The sequence below is a fragment of the Homo sapiens genome, chromosome 16 (assembly GCF_000001405.40).
Source record: "Homo sapiens chromosome 16, GRCh38.p14 Primary Assembly".
In the NCBI taxonomy this organism is placed as follows: domain Eukaryota; kingdom Metazoa; phylum Chordata; class Mammalia; order Primates; family Hominidae; genus Homo; species Homo sapiens.
The window spans coordinates 28150365-28167992 of record NC_000016.10 but is presented as its reverse complement, the minus strand read 5'-3'; the positions used below and the strand labels follow the sequence as shown (position 1 = coordinate 28167992).

At 40.5% G+C, this 17628-nt stretch overlaps 1 protein-coding gene across 2 annotated transcripts in view; it reads left to right on the top strand.

Annotated features, from left to right (window-relative positions):
• Positions 1-17628, top strand: part of XPO6 (exportin 6) — a 113990-nt gene that overhangs the window by 43973 nt on the left and 52389 nt on the right. For both annotated transcript variants that reach the window (NM_015171.4, NM_001270940.2), the window contains 3 exons: positions 1408-1485; positions 11466-11919; positions 15208-15334. In NM_015171.4, the coding sequence (NP_055986.1) occupies positions 1408-1485; positions 11466-11919; positions 15208-15334 (659 nt within the window). The remainder of the gene's footprint in view (positions 1-1407; positions 1486-11465; positions 11920-15207; positions 15335-17628) is intronic.

The following is a 17628-nucleotide window of genomic DNA, read 5'->3' as shown; positions in this document are numbered from 1 at the left end:
GTCATCACTATAAAAAGAAGCATCATACCCATTAGCAGTACCCTCCCCCACCCCGCCCCATTCTCCTCTCCCCCAATCCCTGGCATTCACTAATCTACTTAGTCTGTCTCTATGGATTTGCCTTTTTTGGAATTCTCATAAAAATGGAAGCATACAATATGTGATCTTTTGTGTCTGGCTTTTTCACTTAACATAATGCTTTCAAGATTTATTCAGGTTTTAATATGAAAAATTTGAGAATAAGATATTTTCAAAAGCCTTTGTGATCACCTTATGTTCCGGGTTCTGTACGGGTACAAAGAGGAAGAAAACACAGTTCCCACCCTCAGGTAATTTACACTTGAGTGGGGAGACACAAGTAAACAGTTAAAGATGTTTTAAGAGCTAAATAGAGGTATGTTTTATGTGCAGGAATTCCTGAAGGAGGTGACAGCTGAATGGAATTTTGAGCGACAGACAGGTGGCATTTAGTCTGGTGGAAAGGTGATGTTGAAATTGGGAGGAGGAGAGCAGGTCAGAGGTTGAGAGGGACACATGTAGAAGGAACAGCAGACAGTTGAGCATAGCAAGGCCGCGTCTGTCGGGTGAGCTGAAGCCTGGGTCAGGTGAGGCTAGATGAGGTCAGCAGAAGCCAGGATTTCCAGCCTGTTTCCTGCATGAGGAACGAAAAAGGATTGGTGGCAGGTTTGTGGGGAACGAAAAGTTGAGTTTGGGATATGCACGTAGCATTGTCCAGGAAGCAGGTGGACATGCAGGTCTGTTACTGCCTTGCCTTGTTTCTGAAGCCCCCATCGTGTGAGGCAGAGCTTGGTGTATATAGTCAAGGTGAGTTTGGGCCAAGAACAGGAGACTTGAGAGGCTTCAGAATATATTGAAGCCATAGCAGTGGATGAGTCACTCTAGCAGTGAGAGTGAAATGAGAGGAGAAGCAGGTCAGTCAGGGAACCTGGGGAAACGTGTGTTTAAATGACTCATGGGCAGAGGATGGAAGTAATAGTGAAAGGGATAGAATTGAGTTCAAAGAAACCAGAGAAAAGCCAGGAAAGAGTGGTGCTACCAGCTCAGAGAAGGGTTTAGGCAATGGCCTGTAATGCCACAGTGTGGTCAAGGAGGATGGGGATTAAGTGACCAGTGAGTGCATGCAGCAACCAGGTGACTCTGGCAAAGAGCAGTGCTGGAGGCAACAGTGGGGAGAGGCCACACCACAAGGCCACAGTGAAGCAGTGGAGAGCCAGAAGATAGCTGTGAAGTCGAGAGGCACAGCCGCTAGCTGGAGGAGGACATGGTCAAGAAAGGGATGTTCAAGTACTCATGTTTGATCAGAGGTATCAAGAAACTTTCTCTAAATATGATTTTTATATGCTGGACATTATTTCTCTTATAACTCTGTTTCTCCTTTCTTGGTAGGTATCTTGGAGACTGTCTGGGACAAACACAGTGTTACTGCTGCCACTCCACCACCATCCCCGACCTCAGGAGAAAGTGGTATGGTCTGCCTGCCAGCCAAGGCATTCTTCTTTTTAAATGTATTGGGGGCCAGGTGTGGTGATTTGCAACTGTAGTCCTCAGTACTGAGGAGGCTGAGGTGGGAGGATCACTAGAGGCCAAGAGTTTGAGACCAGCCTGGGCAACATAGTGAGACTCTATCTCTGTTTTTAAAAATTACATTAAAAAAATAGTCCTAGGTTGTTTCCCTCATTTTTTTATTTTTCCTGAATGTCATGGTTATGTGCTTGTGCTGAGATTGTTAGGAGCCTTTGGGCTTGAAACGTCTGCTTGTCCTTCTGTAGGGGTGGCAGGAGGTGGGCAGCAGCCTGCAGGAGAGGACATAGGAACAGGAATATTGAGTGCTTTCTTCCTCACTGGATTCATGTTGGCCAAGGCAGAGTGGAGACCTCTCTGCCTGCATAGTGGAGACCTCTCTGCCTGCATAGTGGAGACTATGCAGTAGTTAGCATTGAATCAACATTGGTTAAGAGTCATTTGGTAAAGCGGGGCATATTTGCAGAGGCTATTAAATAGTTTACTGGTTGCTAGTTATTGTCCACAGTTATGTTAATATCTGCTTCAAAATTCAGAGTGTAGTTCTTCTAAAGATGACTACTTTCAAGGATGGATGGAAAGAGGAAATTGCATCTGAACAGGAACTTTTAGTTTCTAAATGCTGCTGTTTACACTAAATGATCACAAATGCTTTTCCAGCAGAGTACATCCTGTGAATTGACACATATAGCTTCCTCTACTGTAAAGGTTGATGTGGCTAATGAGAAATATTTCCACATCTTCTCCTTTATTTCAAGGAGATAGGCTGTGGAAGTCAGACGTCTCTAAGCCCAAGCTGTTTTATGTAGCCTGTTGTTAGTATGTGGAAGCTGAAATTCTTACAGAGTTACTCTAGAATTGAAAAATCTATCTGGAAGTTTTGGGGAGTACTCATAGTGCACTAATTATTACAAATTTTCATTATCTTACTTGGATTAAAAATTATTAGAGAGCCATTTGTCATACTGCTTAGATTACAAACAATTATAGAGTTCTAGAGTGCATTATAAGCTCATAGGAAATGGAACTTTGTATTTGGTGGCAAACCTTTATTCTTTAGGTAGATATTTGAGGTGGCTCAGCAGATTTATATGTTGCGGTATCTGGAGATTAAAGAAACATTTGGAAATGATTCAGAGATTTGATTTTATGAGTGAACGAATGTCTTGGAGTATCCACAGTTAAGTTTGTTTTTTCGTTTAAATTCTGTTTGCAAATATTAATTCTTTTTTTCGAGACAAGGTCTCCTTCTGTCACCCAGACTGGAGTGCAGTGGTGTGATCACAATTCACTGCAGCCTCGACTTCCTGGGCTCCAGCAATCCTCCCATTTCAGCCTCCCAGGTAGCTGGGACCATAGATGTGCACCAACATGCCTGGCTAATTTTTGTATTTTTTGTAGAGACGGGGTTTCGCCATGTTGCCCAGGCTGATCTTGAACTCCTGAGCTTAAGCTATCCACCCGCCTCAGCCTTTCAGATTTCTGGGATTACAGGTGTGAGCCACCATACCCAGCCAAGATTAGTTCTTTTGAGTTAGATTTATTTTAGACAGTTGAATACTCGCTAGCATGGTTTATTAGCAACAGCAGTTTACTGTAGAAGAAATGCTTGTTTGTGTTTCTGTTGGCTTCATCCAAACAGGTTCTGAGCTAACTCAGTTTATACTTTGATAGGCTCTGTTTTCCTCAGGGCCATGTTGGGGAATGTCAGATAATACAAACCAGAGATATGTGCTTACTTCTTCCATGTGTTGCCTAGGTTTTATGCGGCTAAGCGGAATAAAATATGAACTAACTTGACATTTGCTTGTAACAAAACCTAAAATGTGGTGCCTACTTCTTGAGAATTGCCTCTTAAAATTTTTTGAAGTGTTGGATTTTAGTATTTGAGAAATAACAAAATAAATTGAGACTGTGGGGGCACTTAGGGAGTTATGTAAGCTTTTAAGCTGGTAAAGTTCCCCTTTAAAAAAAAATTGCATGTTCATTTGTTACAGTATTTTTCTTTCTTTTTATGGTAATGTAAGTGAAGTCATTAGATCTTGCCCCACTATTTGGACAGTGCTGATGATGCAATCACCATTCATTTTGATGCTTTTGTTCAACTGTCTTTGTGCGCTTAAGATGCCAAGTTAAGCAGTAAAACTTCCAGAAAGTTGTTTTGCTTTCTTGACCGTATCAGTTTTCTAGAGAAAATTTGTTCTGAGAAACTGTAGGGCCCAGTGAAGCAACCAAATGAATTCCTTAGCTCAGCCCCTGTGGGGCTCTCCTGCCCTGTGTCTTAGGTTTAGTAGCCACCTGAGGCTTGTGGGGTTTTTTTCCCCATATACTTTCTTTTAATGTAATTTTCTGTCTTATTACTTTTAAAGAACAAAGCCCAGGGACTAGTTCCTGCAACAACTCCTTTAATAGTCTGGATGTAGAAAAAAGTTTGAAGGAGTGTGTGTGGTTTATTTCTCAGCATAGTTCCCCCAAATTGTTACCTTAACTCCTAAACTGGCTGCAATAGTGATCACTCACCTCACGAGATCAGACTAGTCTGTCTCTTGCTTACAAACAAGGAAGCTTGCCAGGGGTTGCATCGCCAGTGAGCAGAGTGGGGACATGAACCCCTACCAGAACCCTAGAATTCCAAATCTAGGTGCACGGTCATTGTCCTAGCTTTGCTTTCTTGGTCGTTCTCACCAATTCTGTCCACTTCCTTCTTCCCCTGGTTTGGAGTCTTGGCCCTGCCACTTACTCTGTGACCTTGAGTGGATCCTTCACCTTCTCTGACCGCTGATGTCCTTGACTTTAAAAAAGGAATAGCTTCCTCTGAGGATAAATGAGGGAAGATGTGGACATTGCCCCCCCGCCTGCTGAGGCTGTTCCTTCCTGCTGCACTTGAGCAGCCTCATCTTCCTTCATCTCCTCTCATGTTCACTTCTCTTTGCCTGGACCATTGGGGAAAAAAGTGCACAGAATGAGATTATGTGACTACAGCAATTCTGAGTTAGCTTTGATTGCTCTGCAGTAAAATTAAGGGACCATATCTTTCTCATGCACATGATATATAGTTTCAAATATAGATCTGTACATACGTGATGATGAAAAGTTCTTCAGGATGAGGATGTATCAGAGAGTGTGAATTGAGGCCAGTCTTCTGTTTCCTCCCAAACTCTTAACAGATTGCATATCTTCATGCAAATCTTTTCATGTATTCCTTGTATACTACCTATAGAAAGGTGGGACTTGGGAGGGTCACTTACAACTCCTGTGATCTTATTTTCTCCTCCAGGGGCTCCTTGAATAGAGTTTTCCCCCATTTTACTGGCCAAGGCTGCAGTTAGAGCTGTGGTTTGTCCTGCAGGGGATATTTGTCAGTGTCTGGAGAAATTTAGGTTAACGCGACTGGAGAAGTGCTATTGGCATCTAGTGAGTGGAGGCCAGGGATGCTGCTAAACACCCCGCGGTACACAGCAGACCAAAGAATGATCTAGCCCCAGATGCCAGTAGTGCTGAGGTTGGAAAACTCTTAAGTTAGTAAATATACAACTGATAGGAAAAACATGAAGTTTCAATAATTAAAAAGCTTTGCACGAAAGTTTATTACAGGGCTGGGCATGGTGGCTTAGGCCTGTAAATCCCAGCACTTTGGGGGGCCGAGGTGAGAGGATCACTTGAGCTTAGGAATTTGAGACCTGTGTTGGCAACATAGTGAGACCCCATCTCTAATATATATATATCTGGGCATGGTGGCTCCTGCCTGTAGTCCCAGCTACTTGGGAGGGTTGAAGTGGGAGAATGGCTTGAGTCCAGGAGGTTGAGGCTGCAGTGAGCCATGATTGCATCACTGTACTCCAGCCTGGGCGACAGAGCAAGACCCTGTCTCCAAAAAAAAAAAAAAAAAATTACAAATATGCCAACCATGTCTTCATTCCTTCTAAGTCAGTAAATGCACCAGAGTTGTCTACACAGCTCTGTGGGCATTGGTGCGTATCGCTGCCAGGGTCACAGGTTTTGTAATCAAGCTACCCTCTTCCATAGAGAACTTGATAAAGCTCTCTTAGGTTTGCATTGGAAGTGCTGCTGCATGAAGCAGAATCTGTTTTGTGCTGATTCCTTCCACTTTGATTACGGTGTAATTTTTGAAAAACACTTCCGCCATCCACTAAAATACCTTGAAACATTTAAATTTGAGTAAAATCGTTTTTATGGAGAAATAGCCTTAACAGGTTCTTTCCCTCACCCCAACCTTTTTAGGCAAATGAGTTGTGGTACACTCCTTAGCAGATGCTGACTTCCATGACCATGGTCCTGCTATTTTCTTTCTTTTGAGGACAAAAGTAATCGCAGATCATTCATATCCACCTAAACAGTTTTTGCCTTTGCATAATCTTGTTCAGTCTTTGTCTTCACATATTTGTCTTTCTATGCTTGTAGTCATGGTATACACATGCTATTATTTTACATATGATTTTAGGCCATACATATTTTTCCATATTTATTTTTTCACTTTAATACAGAGGAGAACAATTAGGAATATTTTTCTGTATTTAAATATTAGCTTTCTTATTGCTCATTTTTCCTGGTTGCATAATCTTTCCAGTTAACTTGGTTTTTGGAAGGAAACATTGGTTTTGAGGCCAGACCCTGGTTTGGTTTCATTTCTACCTTATGCTAGCAGAGGGACTTGGGGAAACACTTGGTCTGTCTGTGCCTTAGTTATTTTAATGGTCTGTAAATATGGGTAATAATGCCCACCTTAGAGTTGTGAATATTAAATGAGAATATGCATATATAGTTTTCAGTATAGGGCCAAGCAAGTAGTCACACAGCAGATGGTGGCTGTTACTGCTTTTACCATAAGTATTATTATAGATGTTTTGTTTTTTTTTTTCCTTTTAGCATCCATTCTGGAAAAAGTCTTCTGAGCCACATGCTAGGGACAGCTTTTAAATCTACTTTTCTTTTTTTTGGCTCCTCATAAATCAACTTGATAAGTCCACTTTTAAGAATAGAACTTAAACCCTTCGTTAATGAATTCACAAAATCCTCATTATAATGGCGGAGGAGGTTGAGGCTGAGAAAGGCTAGCCAACTTGTTCATGTTCTTCCAGCGTTAGCATAAGACCTCAGCTCTCAATAAGTCTGGGGACCCCTGGAAGTCCCCCAAACCCTTTTAGGGAGTCCCAAAGGCCAGGTATGTGTTCATAAAAATACTAAGACATTGTTTGTCATTTTTATTCCCATTCTCTCATGAGTATATGAATAAAAAAGTTAATTCCAGATTCCACATTGCAGTTAACCCTTCAGAAATGACTATTCATCAGACTTTAATCTAATATGATAGAATAGACACAGTTATTTGAAAAGGCCACTAAAGCCCTTTGTTCATTTGTAGTTGCATATCTGTGTGGAGTTGCATTTTCTTCACATACTTCAGTGAAAACAATCTATTGCAAAAGAGTGAAGGCAGAAGCAGTTGGGAGAGTCTAGTTATCTTTTAAACCAGCCACTAAAGAGATTTCAAAAATAGAAAAACTGTACTACCTTTCTCACTATTTTTGGGTAAAATACAGTTTTTTTCATTTAAAAATGTTATGCTAACATGATGGCTTTGTAATTAAATGAATTAAATATTTAAACACTTCTCAGCTTTAATTTCTAATATGGCAAATATCAATAGAAGTAATGCTCCTAAGAGCTTTCTCTTCGGGATGCTTAGTAATTTTTAAGAGTGAGGACTTCTGAAACCCAAACATTTGAGACCTAGTGCTGTAAAGTACAAAATAAAATGTAAACATTTACCCAGTATCTTACATAGAAAGAACATCAAATAATATTTGATCACTCCAGACATCTCTACACAGAGATAAGACAGATAAAAAGACAAAAATGGCATCAGATTATATATTTTTTAATAACATTTAAATTTTAGTTTTACTTGATTTTTTTTTTTTTTTTGGTGATGGAGTCTCACTTTGTTATCCAGGCTAGAGTGCAGTGGCATGATCTTGGCTCACTGCAGCGTCCGCCTCCCAGGGGCAAGCGATTCTCCTGCCTCAGCCTCCTGAGTAGTTGGGATTACAGGTGGCAGCTGCCATGCCCGGCTAAGTTTTGTATTTTTAGTAGAGATGGGGTTTCACCATTTTGGCCGGGCTGGTCTGGAACTTCTGACCTCAAGTGATTTATCCGCTTCAGCCTCCCAAAGTGCTGGGATTACAGGTGTGAGCCACAGTACCCAGCATTTTACTTGATTTTTTTTTTTTTTTTTTTTTTTTTTTAAGACGGAGGCTTGCTCTGTTGCCCAGGCTGGAGTGCAGTGGTGCAATCTCTACTTACTGCAACCTCCACCTCCCGGGTTCAAGCAATTCTCCTGCCCCAGCCTCCCGAGTAGCTGGGATTATAGGCACGCACCACCACGCCCAGCTAATTTTTGTATTTTAGTAGAGACAGGGTTTCACCATGTTGGCCGGGCTTGTCTCGAATTCCTGACCTCAAGTGATTTGCCCGCCTTGGCCTCCCAAAGTGCTGGGATTACAGGCGTGAGCGACTGTGCCCGGCCAGGTTTTACCTAAACGTAACAAAAATTGTTAAACTTAAGGAATTGCTGACCTTGAGGTGCTTTTTCTACAAGAAATACTAATTTCTAAAAGATACCTTTATGGTTAAGAAAAAATGATAAAAATCAATTTTGTACTACATGTTTGAATTTTATGTATCACCTCCCCCCGCCACCATGTTTAATTTTAGACCATGTATTTTGAGACTTCTTCCTTGTGAAAGATGGGAAAGTTAGCTAGCGCACCCTCTTAATTCCTACGTCTGTTTAGTCTTGAGTCTCTATGTAATTTGATGCCAGTGTGTCCTTTTGCTACAGCTTCTCCATTCCTTAATTCTTTATTTTGATTTATCTCTTTATCTGTGTGGTTTCTTTGTCTGTTATCCTCCTTGAGAAGAATTTGTGGAGTTACCTGAGTTTTTGCGTGTTTGAGAGAATGTCCCCATGCTGTGAATGTTACTGTGGAGAAGTCTGACTGAGGTGTTTTCTCCTTTGTATCTGTACTTTTTCTGCCTACACTGCTTCCTCATTTTAAACATTCTTAGTATTGATCACTCTTCATCATTTTTTTCTTGGAACAGGATAAAACCCTTTCATGTTGTAGAGTCATGTCAAATTTCAGGAAATTTTTCTTCTTGTTATAGTTTTTTTTCTTCTTTTCTTTTTTCTTTTTTTAAAGACAGAGTCTTGCTCTGTCACCCAGGCTGGAGTGCAGTGGTAAAATCGTAGCTCACTGCAGCCTTGACCTCCCCGGGCTCAAGCGATCCTCCCACTTCAGCCTCCTGAGTAGCTGGGCCTATAGGCATGTGCCACCATGCTTGGCTAATTTTTGTATTTTTTGTAGAGACGGGGTGTCGCTATGTTGCCCAAGCTGGTTTTGAACTCCTGGGCTCAAGTGATCTGCCCGCCTCAGCCTACCGAAATGCTGGGATTACAGGTGTGAGCCACCGCTCCTGGCCTGTTGTTATAGTTTTAAATATTTTTCTTCTTTTGTCTTCTCTAAAATAATTTTATAGCTTTTTTTCCCCTGTTTCATTTTGTTTGATTTCCTTTAGTCTAGTGCTTTCAAAAATCAAGCAAGCATAAGAATCACTTGGAGTGCTTATAAGAACACAGATTCCTGGGCCCCAACCCCTTCAGGCTCTACTCCAGTAGGTGTGGGATGGGGCCTGATGATTTGTATTTCTGACAAGTTCCCTGATTACATTACTGGTCCAGGTCCACAGAGTAGCCCCGTGGTCCTCCAATTTTGGGTCTTGGGGTCCCTTGACTCTTAAAAAATTACTGAGGTCCTCAAAACACTTTGTAAGTTATATCTGCTGATAGAAAAACTGAGAAAAATGTACAAATAGTCATTAATTCATTTAAAAATATCTGTGATGAACCCATTACATATTAACAGATAATATGCTTTAATAAAAAATAACTATATTTTTCAAAGCAAACAGAAAAATTCACTGAGAAGAGTGGTGTTGTTTTACAGTTTTGCAAATCTCTAACATGTGGCTTAGTGAAAGGCAGCTTCTGCATTTCATCTGTTGCAATATCCCATGTGATGTAGCCTCTGGAAAGCTCCATTGTACACTTGGAGATAATGAAAGTGAAAAAGGAAAAGAACATCTTAGTATTCCTTTAAAAATAGTTTTGAATTTGTGGACTCCCTTCCCCGTAATCAACAGCCATTTTAATGTAGATAACCTCTGTCTTCTGTTTGGTAACATGTTCTTGTAAGAACTTACTGTTTTGTGTCCATGTATTTTAATATGTAAGTGGTATAGTAAAACTGTCATTCTGTTTCTTACTTTTAATTTAACTGTATCTTTTTAAGGTCTCTCCAAGCTGTTGCCCGTCTGTGCCTTAGTCCTCTACTTCTGCTCACTGTGTGATATGATACCTGACTCTGCATTCCCTATCCTCTCCCGCCAAGGAGGAGGCCAGACTGCCTCCAGCTCTCCCCCTCACGCCTGTCCCTTCATGGACCCGTGTGAGGGTTGCTTTGGGAGCATACCAGGAGAATGGTCAGGTGAAAGGATATGTGAATGTTTAATAGGACTCCAGAGTGCCAGGTCCTCCTCAGAATGGCCCTTCTTCCTGCACCGCCTTGTGAAGGTTCCTGCATCCATTCCTTGTACTTGACGTCTGGCATTTGCCAACATTTTTTCAGACTCCTTTTAATTTGCTTTTTCTGATTACTAATGAATTTGAAATCTCTTCATATGCTTTGGAGTTTCTTTCTCTGAAAATTGTCTCTCCATATCAACTGCCTGTTTTTGTACTGGGGTTGTTGTGTTTACTGATGTGTAGCATTTTAAAAATAGATTTTAGTTTTTAGTCCTTTTCGATGTTAGAAATTGTGAATATCTTCTCACAGTCTGTTGTCTGCCTGGTAACTTTCCCTTAATGTTTTTCATTGATTAGGAACTCTTTTTTTATTTTTATTTTTTATTTTTTGAGATGGAGTTTCGCTCTTGATGCCCAGGCTGGAGTGCAATGGCGTGATCTTAGCTCACTGCAACCTCCACCTCCTGGGTTCAAGCGATTCTCCTGCCTCAGCCTCCCAAGTAGCTGGGATTACAGGCATGCACCACCATGCCTGGCTAACTTTGTATTTTACTAGAGACAGGGTTTCACCATGTTGGTCAGGCTGGTCTTGAACTACTGACCTCAGGTAATCCACCCGCCTCGGCCTCCCAAAGTGCTGTGATTACAGGCATGAGCCACCGCGCCCAGCCTTGATTAGAAAATCTTAATTTTGTTATATTCCTCAGTATTTTTTGTTAAGGTTTTCTTTTTTGGTAGTTTTAAGGAGTCTTTTTCTCTCTTATATTTCAAATACTCTTATATTTTCTTCTGTTAACTTTAAAGTTTTATCTTTGGTTTAAGTCTTTACTTCATTTGGTGCCCAACTTTGTATGTGGTGTTAGGGATTTTTATTTGTTTATTTATTTAATGGTCATGTATCATGCTTTTCAAAAGCAAGGTCATGATTTGGGGGAACAGTAGCAAGAAAACAAAAACTTGAGTGGATTTGGGGTTTTGCAGCCAGAGAATAATCCCATCTTCTCTTCACTTATGTCTCCTGGGAAACTGCTGTTGTACAAATCTCACTAAAACTAAATTTGAGTCAAAACACTAAAGATTGTATCCAGATCCCCCTCACTAAGAATCATAATCAATTATCTTATTTTTGCTGTACTGTTAAAATTTCCTAATTAGTGTTTAACTTTGAGCATATAGATTTTATTTTTTTATTTCATAGGTAACTAAACTGATACATATATGTATACATATATATATATATTTTTTTGAAGGAGAATTACTTAAAGTCATTTGTAAGAGATTTGATGCTGGATAGCTTAAAAGCCTTTCTTATTTTCAGGTGACTTACTGAGTAACCTGTTGCAGAGTCCCAGTTCAGCCAAACTGTTGAATCAGCCAATTCCCATCCTTGATGTGGAGAGTGAGTATATCTGTTCCCTGGCTTTGGAGTGCCTGGCCCATCTCTTCAGTTGGATTCCTCTGTCTGCCAGCATCACCCCATCCCTCCTTACCACCATCTTCCACTTTGCACGATTTGGCTGTGACATCCGGGCCAGAAAGATGGCGTCAGTTAACGGCAGCAGCCAGAACTGTGTCTCGGGTCAGGAGCGCGGCCGGCTGGGGGTCCTGGCCATGTCCTGCATCAATGAACTCATGTCCAAGAACTGTGTGCCTATGGAATTTGAGGAGTATTTACTGCGTATGTTCCAGCAGACTTTCTACCTCCTGCAGAAAATCACCAAGGATAACAATGCCCACACAGTGAAGAGCAGGCTAGAAGAGCTCGATGAGAGGTAATGAAACCAAGTGTGGAGCTGGTGTGCCCCAAGAAAGGGCCCTGACTGTTTACCATGCTGTGCTGCATGGCATCTGTAATCCTCTTTGATTTCAGAATATGGGGCTCCTGGTGAGGAACAGAAAGGTAGGTGTGTGCCAGTAAGTCTGAGATTAGCTGGAAGGGCTTGGGTGGTTAAGGGAAGTGACTGAGTTTGAAAAATGCTTGTGCCTTGTGTAGGTTTGTTGTCTTTTCTCCCCATCCATCTCCTGTCCTCCCTTCTACTCCTCTTGCCCCCTTTTCCTTACTATTTGCTTGCAGGTCTGAGGTGGTGCAGGGACTGAGACTGCTGCTCCTGCGTAGCCAAGAACAGGAGAAGAGGTCCGTGGAGGTACAGGAGTTATAATCGCCTTTTGTCACTTGGTGTCAGTTTTTACTATTTGACTTTTCCCAAGTGAACATCCTGCAGTATTCAGGAATGTTGTTGTTATTGTGAGTTTTACACCAATGGCAAGTTTTCATCAAACTATAGGAGGGATGTTAATGTGTGCACAGGTTAATGTAGCACACAGCTGTGTTTCTTTGTTATTGTCCTCTCAAGTGGAGCCTACAATGACCTACTTTTTTTTTTTTTTAAAAGCACTCTAAAAGACGACTCCATCACAGTACTCTGAGGCAGGGTTTCATGATTTATGTCTCTTGCAGATGAGGTCATTTATGTATCTTACAACTGCTGCTGTATGAAAACAGGAGGGAATTTGGAAACTTATATTATGAACAATCAGATTGACGGTTTAGGGACTTTCAAGCAATAAATCGTATCGAATTAGTAAATATTTACAGATGACATGGCAGCAAAAGTTGCTAATATTCTCAGTTTTCCTTAGATTGTCCTTTGTTATTAAGCTATATAGAATTAAGCTATTTTCTTTTCCTTAGAGTAAATAGCAGAATATAAAATCAAGTGCATAAAGTTGAAAGTTGTAGTGCTTTTTAAATTGGGCAGTTTTGTAAAATATTTCTAAAATTAAAAAATTGGTACATAAGATTATTTTGGTTTGGTTTATTGTAAAACCGTGATGTTTGCTCTGTATAAGAACACAATCTGATATGGTAATATGTTCTTAAAAATTATTTGGTGATAGCTTTCCATATGAATTCAAAGGCATCATTATTCACACTTTCATATTCTTTCTGTCTGTGGTTAAGAAAGGCTGTATTACCTTTTTTTTAATGATCTGTGTGTCTCATGTCTATCTCTTCATATGTTAATTTAAAAATCTAGCTGCTTGTATCAACTATCAAATATCAGTTGTTTTGACTTTAATCATAATGTAGTCACAGACAACTTTGTTGTGGCTTCCATTTGGATGGTATAGAAATGTCATTATGGATTGTCTATGTACTGATGTTGTTACGTGTAACTTTTGTGCTCTTGGTTTTACATTTTAATCCTGTGCTTCCTATTGCCCTGTGAAAGCTGAGAGGTGCCTGGGAGCAGAAAGGTGACATAAATAATGCTGTGTGCTTGCTTCCTGGCTCTGGGTCCCCTACCACTAATTCTAAACAGCTCAGTCCATTCTCAGTTGTTTAGGAGCTGCTAACCAGATCCTTGGCTTCTCTTTCCCTCTACTGCCTTTTCCCCTAACTTTCTACTGTTCATTAGCACCTGTACCAGAAGGTGGGCAAGGGAAAGAAAATGAGGTGAAATAAAATCTGTAGTTTTAGCTACTGAACAGCCTTGTTTGTATTTTTAAAAAATTGGGTTAGATACTAAAGTAAAATTGAGATTGTTCTGTATTTAGCCCATGGCTTTTTTTTTTTTTTTTTTTTTTTTAAATGGGTAGTAGGGAATTGAGTGCACCTTCCTAAAGAACAGTCAGCTGGGTGGTGACTTTGAATATCCATGTAAAACTATCATGCGGTACATAAGTGAGTGAGGAAGGAGTTCCTACTCTTGAGTATTAGTGATTGATGACACCAGAGAGAAGTGTCTTTGTATGTTCCTGTCTCTAAAAACAGTTGATTTTAGTGCCTTACTGTTTTTCGAGTACTTGGCCCCATGATCCACAGAGACAGCCATTCTCTTTATCAAAACAAATTAATATGTATTTTTTAAAAAGCTGCAAATAAGCTCGGCCGCATAGAGGTCAGGCAGGCAGGCTGGCCACCCTCAGGGAGATAGGTCCCAGGAGCAACATGGGACATTTTATTTCCGGGCCAGTTTTGCTTTTCTGAGTAGTAGTTTTCTCTGCTTTTATTATTTCACATATCTCTGTTTTGAAAAATAGCTTTTGCAGTAATGAGCTTCAGAATTGCTTTTAGCCATTATTTCATTTTCAGCTAAGGCCTAGTATGTCTTTACCTTTTTGTGTTGGTCTCTGAAATGTGATTTATGAAGGTATGGCCATCTCATTTTCTAATCACCTTTTGGTATTTAGGGGCTTAAAATGACAGTTTCTGAAATGTGAGAGTGATGATGTGCTGTGTATTTAATAACAGAGATCTCTTATCCTTGCAGCTGTGACCCATACTCTTCTGTGAAATGATTTTGTGAATACAAATGAGTTGGGGATTCACTGTGAAGTGAAAAGAAAGAGCACTGGATTGGGAGTGGATGATAGTCCTGTTCTGCCATGAGTTGGCTGAGTGACTTTGGGCTGGTCACTTTACCTCTCTGGGCTTCATCTGCAAAACGGAAGCATCAGACTAAAGTCCCTGAGGCTTGCCCAGTTCTAATAGCCTTCCTCCCTTATATTTGAAATCACTTTTAGAGTATTGGGTTGTGCTGTGTTTAATTAGCACCAGGAACCAAAGGGGGAAAAATGGCCATTAAGTTGCAAGCCTGAGTACATCTTACCTGGATGCCATGCCCTTCGTAGCCTGGTTTTGTTTTTGTGTCTTTAGCACCATTCACTTTAGTATTTTGGCCTCCCGGAAAGAAAACCAGCCTTCTAGACTTGCCAGATTGAAATGACACAGTGATCTGCCCATCAACTTTTTATCATTTCCCTTCACTTTAATTGGGTCACAACACAAATGACTTAGAAAATGTGAGCGCACTAGATTATAAGAAGCCTTAGCAGACAGTGTCTGAGGATTAAAGTTGCTTTTCTGCTATGTTTCAGGTGGTTAATGGAATGAAGGGTTGCCTGTCCTGTAGGTAATTGTTGCAGGCCTTTATATTTTTAAAAGAAAATATATTACAAATTTGTATAGTTCTGTACTGAAAGAACTTTGGATTGAATTTAAGTTCTAAGGAGGTGGCTGGGTTTCTTATTGTCACCTTTTGTCTTGTCTCATTTAGCTATATCGAGAAGTTTACTGACTTTCTTCGGCTCTTTGTGAGTGTTCACCTAAGAAGAATCGAGTCTTACTCCCAGTTCCCTGTGGTGGAGTTTTTGACACTTTTGTTCAAGTACACATTTCATCAGGTAAAGCACCAAAGTCATCCTTCCCTTCCAGAGAAAAGGTTTATTACCTTGTTACTTTGAGAAGAAAGAACTTTTTCTTTCAACTTTATTTTCCAAACATTAATATAATGCTTATTATGTGAAGAGTCACAGGTTTAATCTTCCTAACATCCCTGTGAAGTAGGTTCTATTACCATTGTCATCTCTGTTTTGCAGGTAAAGAGACTGAGGCACAAAGAGTAACTTGCTTAGAGTCATACAGTTAGTAAGTGGTGGAGCTGGGATCTGAACCCAGAGTCAGGGCTCTTGACCACTATTATGTGAACAAAGCAAAAGAAAGGAAAAGTCTGAAATTACGGCCTTTAGTTCTGTTCTGTAACTGCCACTGAAACCTCCTTCAAGAAGATTATATATAGTGAAGCTCTCAAGAGTTAAGTTTTGGTAGTGTCCAAGTTTTTCTCCCCCTCACAAATATTTTTTGAGCTCCTATTGTATTCCAGGATTTAGACATACAACCTTCACAAGCAGTCTTTGCCTGCATTGAGTTTACTTACATTCTAGTGACCCTAGTCATTCTAGTATGTGTGTGTACACACACACACACATAAAAAATATATAAAATTATATATGTGGCTTTATTGAGGTATAATTTTATATACCATGAAATTCACTCATTGTAATTGTATAACTCAGTGATGTTCAGTGAATTCATGGAGCTGTCCAAACATCACCACAGTACAATTTTAGATATTTCTATCACATCCTATCCCCCGTGCCTGTTGGTGTGTGTTTTATCTTAGTTTTTAAAGTTTTTGGTAGACATTGGGTCTTGCTATGTTGACGAGGCTGACTTTGAACACCTGGCCTCAAGTGAGCCTCCTGTCTGGGCCTCCTGAAGTGCCAGTGTTACAGGCGTGAGCTACCGTGCCCAGCTGTGTGTTTTTAAAATAAGCTTTTTATTGAAGTATGACACACATACAGAAAAGTGCATAAATCTTAGGTGTAGTTAGATGAGTTTTCCCCAAATTGACATATGCATGTAACCATCACCTAAGTCAAGAAGTACATTGTTGCCAGCAACCAGGAAATCTCCTCATGTCCTTTCCAATCACTTCCCCTCGTTTCTCCCCAGAAGTAACCCCAGGCCTGACCTTAATACCACAGACTAGTTTCGCCTGTTTTAGAGCTTCTCTGAATGAAAGCACATAATGTATGTTTTATCTGTGTTTTTATTGGCCATCGTGTTTGTGAGCTTCGTTTGCGTTGTGTGTGGCAGTCATGTGTTGATTTTCGTTGTGCTGTTGTTAAGTCATTGTTTGCAAGTTCACTCCCCTGCTGATTTGGCTGCTTCCAGTGCTTACTGATCTTGCAGTGAACATTCTTGTACGTGCTTTTGGATGTACACAGATAGCTGTTTTAGTTGATATGTACCAGGGATGAAACTAATGGGTCACTGAGGACATTTGATTTTAGAAGTAGCCTTTTTTTTTTTTTTTTTTTAACCACTAGTGTTGTAGCTTAATGTGTCTAGAGGAAAGGCAAGGGTCTAGGCTAGGAGGGTTGTGTATATGACTTGGAGCAGGGGTTTGTTGGGAAAGCTGTCCTTTCTCAAGGAAGATCTTGGCATGTGAAAATAGAAGAGGACCCAGTGGTAAGGATGAGCCAGTCCTGGGAGCAGGGGAGGGAAGGCCAAAACTTGAAGAAGCTCAGAGGTGTCAGGTAGAGGGGCAAGTGCGTGCAGAGCATGAGGAGAGCCGTGCCGAGGTCATAGTCCTCAGGAGAACTTGAAGTGACTGCAGGAGGGTGAGGATGTAGGGGAGAAGCATCAGAGGTGGAACAGTTTTGGGACATCCAGAGGAATTTTAAAGGAGACCATGAAAAAAGAGGATTTGAGAGAATGTTGAGTGAGTGTTAAATAGCGTAACAGAAATGAGGGAGCTGAGGAGCCAGTTCTGAGGCCAGAAACAGGAGGCTTACTTGGGGGAGATGGAATGACAATGTCTTGACATTTCACTCTCTATGTAAAATGGGGTCTTCTGGTGTGTATAGTATAGAAGAAAGTGAAACATCTTTTAAAGTAGGCATGTCTTATGCCTGATTCTTTGGATTGGACCCAAAAGTTTTGTGTTTGAGGTCTGCTTATTTCTATTAGTTCTGTGTCCTTGGAGAAACCTTAAATTTACTTAGATTTCAGTTTCCTCACCTAAGAAAATAGACTGCAGTGGACATCTTCAGGCCTTTCCCCTGGCTTATTTTTTATGATTCTTTCAGTAGACTCCTATGTGTCATCGAATTGAAAATGGTGGTTTTATATA